Consider the following 12,196-nt stretch of genomic DNA (forward strand, 5'->3'; position numbering starts at 1 on the left):
CATGCTACAATGTAGATGAACCTTGAGGACATTATGCACAGTAAAATAAACCAGTTACAGAAAGATAATTACTAAATGATCCCTCCTAAATGAGGTACTAGAGGAGTCCAATTCACAGAAGCAAAGAGTAGAAGGGTAGTTGCCAGGGGCTAGGGTGGGGGCTGGGGGCTGGGTGGGTATTGTTTGGTGAAACAGAGTTTCAGCTTAGGATGATGAAAAATGTTCTGGAAATGGATGGTGGTGATGTCTACCCAAATTGTGAATGTACTTAATAGGGTCTAAACTGTATACCTAAAAATGGGTAACATGGCACATTTTATGTGATACATATTTTATCAAAATAAAAAGGAAGAAAGAAAGGAAAAAAAAGGCTCTGTCCTTAAAGATCTTTGAAGTGTTGAGGCATCCTTGAGTTCAATACTTGCAATGTCCAGGGGGCAAAAATGTCTTATGTCAAGCGAAATAAGTCAGGCACAGAAAGGCAAATATCACATGTTCTCACTCATATGTAGAAGCTTAAAAAGTTGATCTCGGCCAGGCGCAGTGGCTCACGCCTGTAATCCCAGCATTTTGGGAGGCCAAGGCGGGCGGATCATGAGGTCAAGAGATCGAGACCATCCGGGCTAACACAGTGAAACCCCGTCTCTACTAAAAATACAAAAAATTAGCCAGGCATGGTGGTGGGCGACTGTAGTCCCAGCTACTTGGGAGGCTGAGGCAGGAGAATGACGTGAACCCGGGAGGAGGAGCTTGCAGTGAGCCGAGATCGTGCCACCTCAGCCTGGGCGACAGAGCAAGACTCTGTCTCCAGAAAAAGTTGATCTCATGGGGGTAGCTCTGGAAGGGTGTGTGTGAGGGGGTAGGAGGTGTGATGAAGAGAGGTTGGTTAATGGGCATAAATGTACTGTTAGACAGGAAGAATAAGTATAATGTTTGACAGCAGAGTAGGATGACCCTAGCTGACAATTTATTGTATGTTTTCAGGTAGCTAGAAGAGAGGATTTGAAATATTCCCACCACATAGAAATGATAAATACTCAAGGTAATGGATACCCCAAATACTCTGACTTGATCATTACACACTGAATTCATGTAACAAAATATCACATGCAACCCATATATATGTACAAATGTTATGTATCAATTTTTAAAATGAAAAAGAAAGGCAAATCTAAGAAAAAACAAAACAGTTGTTTCCTAGGGCTGTGTAAATTGCAGCTACTGGTAGGAACTCTCATATTAAAAGGGAACCCAAACCAGGGCGGCTTGAGGAGGCAGCTTCCCAGAAAGGATGGCTTTTTGAGCTGCCTTGTGGGGAGACCCTGCTGTGTGTCCCCAGTTCACCAGCAGTTGACTAGGAGTGAAGGGAGAGGGGAAGATTTCCTGGTAGTGTCTCTTGTAATACCTTGTTAGTACTTGTAATCAACATGGCTAGGATGAAAGAATTCTGGCTTCAGAACAGAAACATTGTGCTTTAAATTAAATCAGTTCCCTGCTGGGAGCCACTTACTCTCCTTCTTTACCACAGCCAGGGAAACAATTCAGAGGTTTCTCTGCATGGTTAGCAGCATGAGTGACCTTCAGTCTTCCCACTTAAAATCGATTCAAGATGATCACGCTGCCTTAAACAAAAGTCTCCATCTCACCCTTCCCGTTTCTCCTCCTCTTCCTAGTATCTCTGTCTCTGTCTCTGTCTCTCATAGAGAGCCTCACGTTTATTTGTCTTATGCGTGTGTGCACAAGAGGGGCTAAATCCACCCCAAATGTATCACCCTTCCACCTGGCTCAGGGCTGACAGTGAGATTTTGCATCTCCTCACTCTCCTCTCTCCTCCCTGAAGAACAGCAAGCCAGATGGCCATTCCCCAGTCTCCCAGCATGAGTTTGACTGACAGGAGCCTTTGATAAACCTTGGAAGAATGAAGTCATCTCCGGGTCACCGCGGTTGCCTGGCCTTTAACACCCCACACAGACCACCATTATCTGTTGAATAGGAGACAAAGGAAATTAGCCCTGCTTCCCTATCATCCCCATTATTTCCAGGCTGATTTAAACAAGGAAGCAATGAGATGCCCTTCACTTTTCTCCAAAAGGTACAAATGTCAGCTGTTAAAAAATGCAAACAAGAGGCTTTCCTATGTTAATGGTGGGTTTCTTTGTTATAGCTGAGAAGTGGAAAGTGCATTTTATTCACTGCCTTTGAGGAAAGACTTAACAGGATTCTAAACAACTTCCTTAACTACACATACCTCAGAGCCACCTAAGAGCATGCCTTCAGGGTTTTAGCTGGAAAAAGAAGGGAGGAAGTGGGACTTCATTCCCAATCTTTAACATCAAAGAACCTGGACAGACAAGTTACAAGAGTGTTCTACCCATTTAACCCTTTTTTTTTTTTTTTTTTTTTTGAGATGGAGTTTCACTCTTGTTGCCCAGGCTGGAGTGCAATGGCGCAATCTCGGCTCACTGCAACCTCCACCTCCCGGGTTCAAGCAATTCTCCTGCCTCAGCCTCCTGAGTAGCTGGGATTATAGGCATGTGCCACCATGCCCAGCTAATTTTGCATTTTTAGTAGAGACAGGGTTTCACCATGTTGGCCAGGCTGGTCTTGAACTCCTGACGTCAGGTGATCCACCTGCCTCAGCCTCCCAAAGTGCAAGGATTACAGGCGTGAGCCATCATGCTCGGCTTTAACCCTAAAATTGAAAAGGAAAAAAAAAAAGATTTCTCTCCTCTTTCCCAAAATAATTTTCTCCCACAAAGTAAATGTTTAAGTGCCAACAGAGCAAAAAATGAGGCAAGGGTACCATAGAATTGTCATTTAAGGGAATTGTGGCTGATTGTCTCCTGTCATTGTGTTGCAAGAGGCAGCACGTGTGTGTGTGTGTGTGTGTGTGTGTGTGCACATGTATGCATATGTGGGCATTTGTGTATACACATTATAGCAGAAAGGCTCATTATTGGGAAGAAATTTATTCATAACTATTCCATAGTTTCTGAATATTAGGAGTTGGTGTAAATAAGTTCTCTTTAGATGACAGCCCCCACTTTTTCTAAGAAGGCAATGCTCACCATTGTTACCATTTAGGCTATAATACTTTAAAGCTCTGAGTGCTGCAAAACAGCCAGAAGATTTCAATGAAAGGGCAAGTACCAGAGAAATCAAGACAATGCAGGTGAATGAATGACTCAATCAATAGACACTTGTTGGGCATCAGGGCCAGGCATTGCACTAGGTCCCTCAAGGGATACTAATTTGAAGGCATAGTCCCCACAAAAGGTTTCCAGCCTAGTAAGGAAACAGGAGTGAGACTGGACCTCGTTCCTAAAGTGGAACCTACATAAGTGAAAAGGTGAGAGGAGGCCCTCCCAGAAATAAACTAAAGCCTGGAGAAGAAAGAGAACTACGTGTTGAGGGGTTTCATGGGAATGGGAAGTACTTTTATGAATGGGGTTGAATTGTTGAGGGGTCGTATTTTCTGGATGAGGAATTTACACTTCCTTCTTGTATTAGTCTGCTCTGACTACCATAACAAAAGACTAGAGCTGGTGGTATAAGCAATAGAAATTTATTTCTCTCTGTTCTGGAGTCTGTAAGTCCAACGTCAAGGTGTCAGCAGGTTTGGTTTCTCCTGTGGCCTCTCTTCTTGGCTTGCAGATGGCCACTTTCTCTCTGCATCCTCACAGTAAGTCTCTATGCATGCATATTCCTAATCTTTCTCTTTCTTCTTATAAGGACACCGGTCATATTAAATTAGGGCCTCATCCTAATGACATCATTTAGTGTTAATTACCTTATTAAAGGCCATACCTCCAGATATAGTCACATTGGGGATTAAAGCTACAACATAGAAATTTGGGTTAGGACACAGTTCAGTCTTTAATACCTCATTAGGCAACAGGAATGCAGGGACTGATGGGAGAGGGGGACCCTCAGGATGAGAAGTTCTTTCAGAAGCCTGAGTGAATTAGTGAAGAGAGGGGCAAACTAAGAGACAAATTAGAAGGCTATTAAATTAGGCAACAGGTAAAATGGAAAGGACCTGAACTTGATGTTGGCAGTAAATGAAACAGGATGCAAAATAAAAGTGTTAAGAGAAAATCAATAGGACTTGATGACTGATCAGATATGGCAAGCAAGAGAGAAGAAAGATGACTTCAGGTTATAATTCTGAGAGCCTCGGGAAGTGGTTGAAAGATGAAATGGTACAGAGGAGGTACTGATACCAAAAGATGGAGTAGAAAGGTTATGATGTCTGCAACTTAAGCTCAGACACACTATGTTAGAAACCCAAGGTTTGTCATCTTCTGTGTGTGAGACCTTAGCAATTTACTTAACCTTCCTGCGTCTCAATGTACATTTGTGTTGAGTTGGGCGATAGCAGCAACCTCACTGAGTGGTTCACGTTTTATAGATAAAAGGATATCTCCTAATTCCACTGAGATAAAATTCAAAATTACCATGACAGATTGCAGAAGAAGCTTAAGAACAACATGTCATTCAAACTGTGGTGAGGTCCTTTAGGCAGAAGAGTTCAAAATCAATAAAACAAAGAACAATGATATAGACATAAGAGTCACACTGAACCGTGAGATGAACATGGAGGCTGTAACGTAGCTTAGAAACAAGTCTGATCTTGCGCACATGCAACAGAAATGCAACACTTGAGAACCATAAAATAATTATTTGCACTGGAAAGTAAGACACATTTTTTTTTAAAAAAAATGGCAAAAGGAAGCTAGGTGTGGTGGCTCACATCTGTAACCCCAGCACTTTGAGAGGCCAAGGTGGGCGAATCACCTGAGTTCAGGAGTTGAGGACTAGCTTGGCCAACATGGTGAAACCCATCTCTACTAAAAAATGCAAAAATTAGCCGGGCGTGGTTGTGCGCGCCTGTAATCCCAGCTACTCGGGAGCCTGAGGCAGGAGAATTGCTTGAACCCGGGAGGTGGAGGTTGCAGTGAGCCGAGATGGTGCCACTCCACTCCAGCCTGGGCAACAAGAGCGAAACTCCATCTCAAAAACACAAAGGCAAAAGGAATAGAAGAGATTGCTAAGGAAGGGAATCATCTCCTACCAACTGCTGAAAAGTTATTGTTTGGGGAATAGTAATCAATTCTCCATCTCTACTGAAGGTGGGAGGAGAAACAAAATGGACTCAAAGCAAATTAGAAGACATAGAAATGATCTCTAAGGAAGAAATTCTGACAAAGTGGTAAGCATATGCTCTGGGCTGAATTATGTCCCCCCAGTGTTGACATGTTGAAGTCCTAACCCCCAGTGCCTCAGAATGTGACTGTATTTGGTGAATGGGTCTTTAATTGGGTGATTATGTTAAAATGAGGTCTTGAGGGTGCACCCTAATTTAATCTGACTGGTGTCCCTTTAAGAAGAGGAGATGAGGCCAGGTGCGATGACTCATGCCTGTAATCCCAGCACTTTGGGAGGCCAAGGTGGGTGGATCACCTGGGGTCGGGAGTTCGAGACCACCCTGACCAACATGGAGAAACCCTGTCTCTACTAAAAATACAAAATTAGCCAGGCATGGTGGCTCATGCCCGTAGTCCCAGCTACTTGGGAGGCTGAGGCAAAAGAATCGCTTGAACCTGAGAGGCAGAGGTTGTGGTGAGCTGAGATTGTGCCACTGTGCCATTGCACTCTAGCCTGGGCAACAAGAGCGAAACTCCGTCTAAAAAAAAAAAAAAAAAAAAAAAAAAAGGAGAGGAGGACAAAAGCACAGAGAGAAGACCATGTGAGGATACAGAGAGAAGACGGCCATCTACATGCCAAAGGGAAGGGCCTCAGAAGAAACCAGCCTGACTGACACTTTGATCTAAGATTTTCAGCTTCTGGAACTGTGAGGAAATCAATTACTGATGTTTAAGCCACACAGCCTGTGGTATTTTTTTAGGACAGCCTTAGAGCCCACAATACTGAAGATTCTTGTAGCATCTCCCTGCTTTGCAATTTTTAAGAACAGACTAATCAAATTATGAGGGGAGAGCTCATCAAATCTTCAATTAACATTTTTATTCCTTGATGACAGCTCCCATCATTGTTGGTCCAGAAGGTTCTCTTGTTCAGAGACTTAATGTGATTTTCAAATAGTTCGAGTTATGCTCAGCACCACAGAAGCAAATGCCCCCACCTTTGCCATGATTGGTTTTCTGGAATCACAGAAAAACAGAACACAAAATGGCCTTCGAGAGTACTGTCTAAATTCATTATGTAGCTTAATTGGGCCAATTTGAATACTTTTGTAGCAATCCTTGGGTCCCTTGGGATGCAGCGCAGTTCTTAAAGTGGTGATTATTTCATTTTTTTACACTTGGAACTCCAATTCTTTGTAATTAATTATGCAAAAAATGTAAGAGAAGTTTGTGGAAGTAAAGCATCTTGGTATTGCCTAAAAATTAAAAAAACTTCCAATTCAAAACATGAATCCTTCTGTACATGTCACCCAGTGGCTAACTAAATGCCTTTAACTGTCAGAAACTCATCTTCATAGGGCTGCCCCTGTGGTTGCGTGAGGGTGGAACTCTGTATTTCTGTGCCTTTCCTTGGCTGATAGCAGCTTACAGTAGTTGTTCTTTTAGTCCACCCAGCATGCCTCCCAATCCTACCCCTCACCTTGTCCATGACCCAAGCCCAGGGAAGCAAAGTACTTTCCAAGTATTTTTCAGGCTTAGCTGACAGTAAAGAGCCTTCTTTTCTCTCTGGTTGCTTGATGAATGACAGTCTGGGGGAACATAACGCAGTAAGATAATATCAAGTTTGTTGTAAAAGTAAGTGAGAGAGAAAAGAGAGAGAGAGAGAGAGAGAGAGAGAGAGAGAGAGAGAAACACCCTGGTCCTAGTTTTCACTATGGCTAGCCCTTTTTCTGACTTTCCCACCATTTGGTTATGTGAGCCAATAAGCCCTTCTTGTTTGCTTATGATACTTCCAGTTACATTGTCATCACATGCAAATATGAAACTTGGCTGAGGAATAAGTATAATACATCCTCTCCAAATGTTTGGAAGCCATCATTAGAGAGATCATATTTTTATTGTCAAACTAGGGCACTTTTGAGAGTGAAATACAATGCAAATTGCAATTATACTGGGACAATAGCCATACACTTAGACCAGTCCAATAAACTTATCGTTAGTCTTCTTACTCTTACTCTTTCCAGTTCACACATCCCTGATTTTTTCTTACAAGTCATGGTTAGGAATCCCTCACCACGTTGACTGATATCCTTTGGACACTTGGCAGTTTGCCAGTGTCTTACAATGTGTTAGCTAGAATTGAATCCAGTTCTCAACATGTAGTTGACCAGGGCAGCAGATTACTTGGTTGGGAGCATATATTCCCGTGAATCCCATTGATGCAGCCTCAAACTGAATCTCCCTCTTGCTCTCACTCTTCTCTTTAACAGCACTTTACACTGTGGCTAGTACCTGGTTGGTGTTTAAAGACCAAAGAATAAATGGCTCACTTTGAGATGGAAGTCAACTATAATCCAGTTAACTTTTGGGGATGGAACTTCACATCTCTCTGTCTTAAATATCATCTTGTTAGTGTGAGTTTATATCTCACAATGTCATTGTTTCTCCCAACCTCTGCTCTTTATTAAATTTAATAAGCATATCATCTCTGTATTATTATTATTGATGTTGATATTAGCTAACCCTTAGTGCTTCTTATATGCCAGTCCTTATTCTAAGCATTTTAAATTCAATATTCAGAATAAAATTATGAGATGAATATTATGACTATTCTCATTTTGAGGATGAAGGAATTGAGATACAACAAGGTAAAGTAGATTGCCTAAGGTCACAAAGATAATAAGTAGCAGAGTCAGGTTTCAGTGCAGACACTCTTGCTCCAGAATTCGTCTTCTTAACCACCTTGCTATTCCTATTCAATTAATTGAAGATTATTATTATTATTGAGATGGAGTCTTGTTCTTTCACCCAGGCTGGAGTGTAGTGGCATGATCTTGGCTCACTGCAATCTCCGCATCCTGGGTTCAAGTGATTCTCCTGCCTCAGCCTCCTGAGGAGCTGGGATTACAGGCACCCATCAGCATACCTGGCTAATTTTTTATTTCTAGTAGATACGGGGTTTCACCATCTTGGCCAGGCTGGTCTTAAACTCCTGACCTGGTGACCCACCCGCCTTGGCCTCCCAAAGTGCTGTGATTACAGGCCTGAGCCACCGCACCCAGCCCAATTAATTGATTACTAAGATGTGTAACAGGACAAGGTCAAGGAGACAGACTGTGGCATCCTACCATGAATACACAGCACTCAATGAGTTTGTTCTGTTTCATTATCTACTACTGTACATAATTGTATGATAATAAGCATATAAAAAACGCAATGTCATATGTCTTGCTGAAGCCAAGATACACTCTTCCCATCTGAATGTTTTAAATGCTTACAAAACATCATTTTATTAATCCAATCTAGAATTTTCTCTTGAGCTAATGTCAAATTAATAGTTTTGTTCTTTGTATTATTTTCTTCCTCCTTTCCCTCCTTTCTTCCTTCTCCTTCTCTTTCCTTCTTTCTCTTCCCTCCTCTCCTTTTCTTTTTCTTCCTTCCTTCCCTCTCCTTCCTCTCTTCCTTCCTTCTTTCCTTCCTTCCTCCCTCCCTCCTTGCTTTCTTCCCTCCCTTCCTTCCTTCCTCCCTTTCTTCCTTCCTTCCTCTCTTTTCTTCTTTCTCTTCCCTTTCTCTTTCTTCCTTTCTTTTTCCTTCCTTCCTTCCTTCTTTTCTTCTTTGCCTCCCCCTTCTTCCTTCTTTCCTTCCATCCTTCCATTCTTCCGCCCCCTTTTTCATTCTTTCTTCTCTGTCTCTCAGAAGAGTTACATTTGCCTGACTGCCTGCTTCTAGTCTATTCTCCCATGCTCTGTGATTTCTTAAAGATCATAGCACTTGCCCTGGAAGTCCTCTCTTAACCCAAGCCTCTGATTTCTTTGGGTAAAAATTTGAATTTACTTAGGGATGTTAGCTAACCTGTGGCTCTTTCACCTAAGAAATTATAGCTATTAGCAGAATCTGCAAATTTGTACAACTGGTTCAACATAGGCTTGCCAGATCAACCAATGACTTGAACTAACTTTGAAGATCTTTCCTCCTTTTGTGAACATAATTTCACTTTGAGATATTTTAATCTCAACCTAGCCATTGTAAGAACAAATCAAAACACAAGACAATGATAGCAACCACCGTAACTGGCACAGAATGTACTCCCCAACCTACCCCAGACCCCAAGCGATTACTAGGCCAAAGGTTTCAAAAGTAACAAGACAATTATTTGAATAATTCTGAATGCAGAAACTGAAAAAATGAAGTGTACAAAAATTGAAGAAATACCTGATGCTATGGTCATCCTAGATACAAGTTCTTTTGGAGACAGAGAAATACAAGGTCATAAATGGAATCATAGCTGTGGAAATTAGTCTAATTACACAAACACAGGGCCTAAAATTAATTCAGAAAATCTTGAAGGAATTAAATAAAGTCCAGATATAAATAAATATAAAAAAAACAGTACTCTTGACCGATCTGGCTATTGGATGCCCAACTGCCTGCCACTGGAAAGGGCAGAGCCAACAACAAATACTGCCAGCCAGGAGATGAGTTTTTTCACCTCTCTGCAAGGCTGAATAGAAGGAATTTAATTTGCCCGCTTGGCTCTTATGCAATGCCAGGTAACCTTAGAATAAAGAGGGCTTTGAGGGAGAAAGCCAGACTTCCCCAACATGTTGCTGCAATCATATTCTCCTCTTGTCAGATGCCTGCAGACACAGTGACTGACTTGTCCCAGACTGCTCATTGCTATCGCTCAGATCCATGAGGCTGTGTCTCCCACAGAGAAGGATGGGAGGTACAAAGGCTCCAACTGCTCTCACTGTGAAAACTCCACAGTGAAATTCCATCAGACAGAAGCCAGCTCTCTGCTGAGTGAATTGGGCCTTTTATCAGTCAGATTTGTATACATTATAGAAAGAGCCAAAGAAGGGAGTTACTGTACACTTCGTATATTTTTAGTTCCCTAGGATTAGTTGCTATTGGACTGAACGTTTGGGGAAGAGAAGAAAAAATGCAACTTCAGTCCTCTGTGTATGCTGGTGGCTTCCTGAGGTCTCCAAGTTTTTCTGGACTTGCCTGTTTGCTTTTCTGATATACCATGGTACGTTCTGTAGCACAAAGGGCATATTATCTATTTCATCTTCCAAATTTTACCTCTGCTTCATTTGTTTTTCAAATAATTTACTAATGAGGGCCACTGTGTGTGTGTGTGTGCATATGCATGTGTGTGAATAAACACATGCACACGCACACAAACTTTCATTCATCTGATTTTAGTTTTGAGCCTAACTCATCCTACTCACCCAAAGCAGCACAATAAAAACATTTCTGTTGGCAGAATCAGCGGGGGAAACCTTTGCAATCCTCTTACTTTCTTCATTGACTTTACTTATTGCAAAAGCAGTTCCTTGTGGTAAAATAAAAACAAAAACAAAAAAAAAGCAAATAAGTAGGCTATGTGGATGTAGAGATAGCATCGCTGTCATTAGATTTACAATTTAAAAAAACTGACATTGTTGACTTGGTCTTCTACACAGTTTTATAAATAGAAACAATTCTTCTACCATTTTATTCACTGGCATAATTTTTCGGTCATTCTTACTTCTTCCCCTCAACTTTCTTTCAATTATCTAAGGTTTCAATTATTCATCAAATATTTATTGAGCACCTGTTATGTGGTAGGCATGTACTTGGTGCTGAGGATCGGATGGGACAATGAATAAGACAAGCATGGCCTTTGCCCTCCTAGACCTACAGGATATTCCATTAAAAATATGACACAAGGCTTATTCCCATAAAAATCCCTCAAATTACATTTTAGACACTATTATTAGGGATCAATGCAGGGAAGATGCCATATCTCTAGGGACAGAAGAAGAGGTAAAGGGATGAAAATTAACCAAAGAAAATAATCTGTTCAGCAAGGTTTGTAGACATACTACTGTATGGCTCTTGAAGGCTGTATACAGAAGACGGAGTCCTTGCTTTCTTCTTCCATCCCTAAGAGATAAATCTGATTTCCAAACTTCAGGCTGGTTTCTACTTCCTCCTAAGCTACTGTCTACACTCCCTTCTAGTTTTTTCACTGATGCTGCTGAACCAATGAACTTCATCAGGCTCTACTTCTTTGGGATGCAATTTGAGTGTCCTAAGGTAAAACACCTATCTCTTTACATGGAAGTGGTTTCTGGGCCCGGCTCAGAAAGACCCCCAGGCTTGGTTTAAGGCTCTGCTGTTGCTGCCTTAAAATTCTTGATACTTTCAAACAAGGGGTTCCACATCGTATTCACAAAGACTTAAACATTATGTAACCAGTCCTGTCCTTAGAATTAATGGGCAACCGGTAGAAAATTTTGGACCTGGTGGGTGGAGAGACTCTGCTCGGATGCTAATTGTAAGCTCTTATCCTCCACCTAGGTTTAATAGATAACAAGCTTTGGAGATTATGGCATTGGACAATTACTTATAAATGCTCAAGAAATAATTCAAGTGATTACCGCCCTAATATGTACTTGACAAAAATTTACTGAGCCAAATTCTTACAGATGGACCAAATGAAGCTTAAGGGTTTCACTGACCAATCTCTTATGAGCTCTTTGACAGTCATTGTGTTGCTAAAGGAGAAATGAAAAAAAAAGCCTATACATTATTGTTAAATCATATCTAACAATGCTTATGTAGAATATGGAACTTGGAATCATGAGACCTGGGTTCAAATGCAGATTTTCTGTCTTACCTATTACATGACCTTGTTTGAGCTACTTGTGCATTTGGGGGCTTTTAAATTTTTTCTATCTAGAAAACAGGGAGAATAATACTATGTTCTGGGTCATTGTGAGGATTAAATTAAATAGTGTAGGTTAAAGTGCCTATCAGAGTCTGTGCCGCATAGTAAACACTCAATAAATCATTGTGCTGGTTTGATATAATTATAACTCTTTACTTAGAAATAGAATTCCTCTGCATGCATTCATTAAGAAAAAATAATGAGTTATTATTAGAGTTTAATAGATTATAATTTCTCAAAAAAAGCTGATCATTATATTTATTTTTACCTCTCTTCTTTTTATCTTCTCAACACTAGCCAACATTACTACCAGTGGCACAAGGATTCTTTT

General features: G+C 41.1%; 1 long non-coding RNA gene across 1 annotated transcript, besides 2 other annotated features; it reads right to left on the minus strand.

Annotated features, from left to right (window-relative positions):
• Nucleotides 975–1,759: an enhancer, noted in NCBI's record as "OCT4-NANOG-H3K27ac-H3K4me1 hESC enhancer chr6:19311742-19312526 (GRCh37/hg19 assembly coordinates)". NCBI's record gives its function as "activates a minimal SCP1, AML or CMV promoter by ChIP-STARR-seq in naive H9 embryonic stem cells {active_cell/tissue: H9 hESC(naive)}" and the evidence as "EXISTENCE:reporter gene assay evidence [ECO:0000049][PMID:30033119]".
• Nucleotides 1,760–2,545: an enhancer, noted in NCBI's record as "OCT4-NANOG-H3K27ac-H3K4me1 hESC enhancer chr6:19312527-19313312 (GRCh37/hg19 assembly coordinates)". NCBI's record gives its function as "activates a minimal SCP1, AML or CMV promoter by ChIP-STARR-seq in naive and primed H9 embryonic stem cells {active_cell/tissue: H9 hESC(naive and primed)}" and the evidence as "EXISTENCE:reporter gene assay evidence [ECO:0000049][PMID:30033119]".
• On the minus strand, nucleotides 6,516–11,749 carry LOC105374961 (uncharacterized). Its single transcript, XR_926561.3, has 3 exons — nucleotides 11,657–11,749; nucleotides 10,382–10,485; nucleotides 6,516–6,736 (listed from the first exon to the last, which is right to left on the minus strand). It is a non-coding gene; the product is annotated as an uncharacterized LOC105374961 (long non-coding RNA).
• Between the last annotated feature and the right edge of the window lie 447 nt (nucleotides 11,750–12,196).

Source organism: Homo sapiens, chromosome 6 (assembly GCF_000001405.40).
Source record: "Homo sapiens chromosome 6, GRCh38.p14 Primary Assembly".
Classification (NCBI taxonomy): domain Eukaryota; kingdom Metazoa; phylum Chordata; class Mammalia; order Primates; family Hominidae; genus Homo; species Homo sapiens.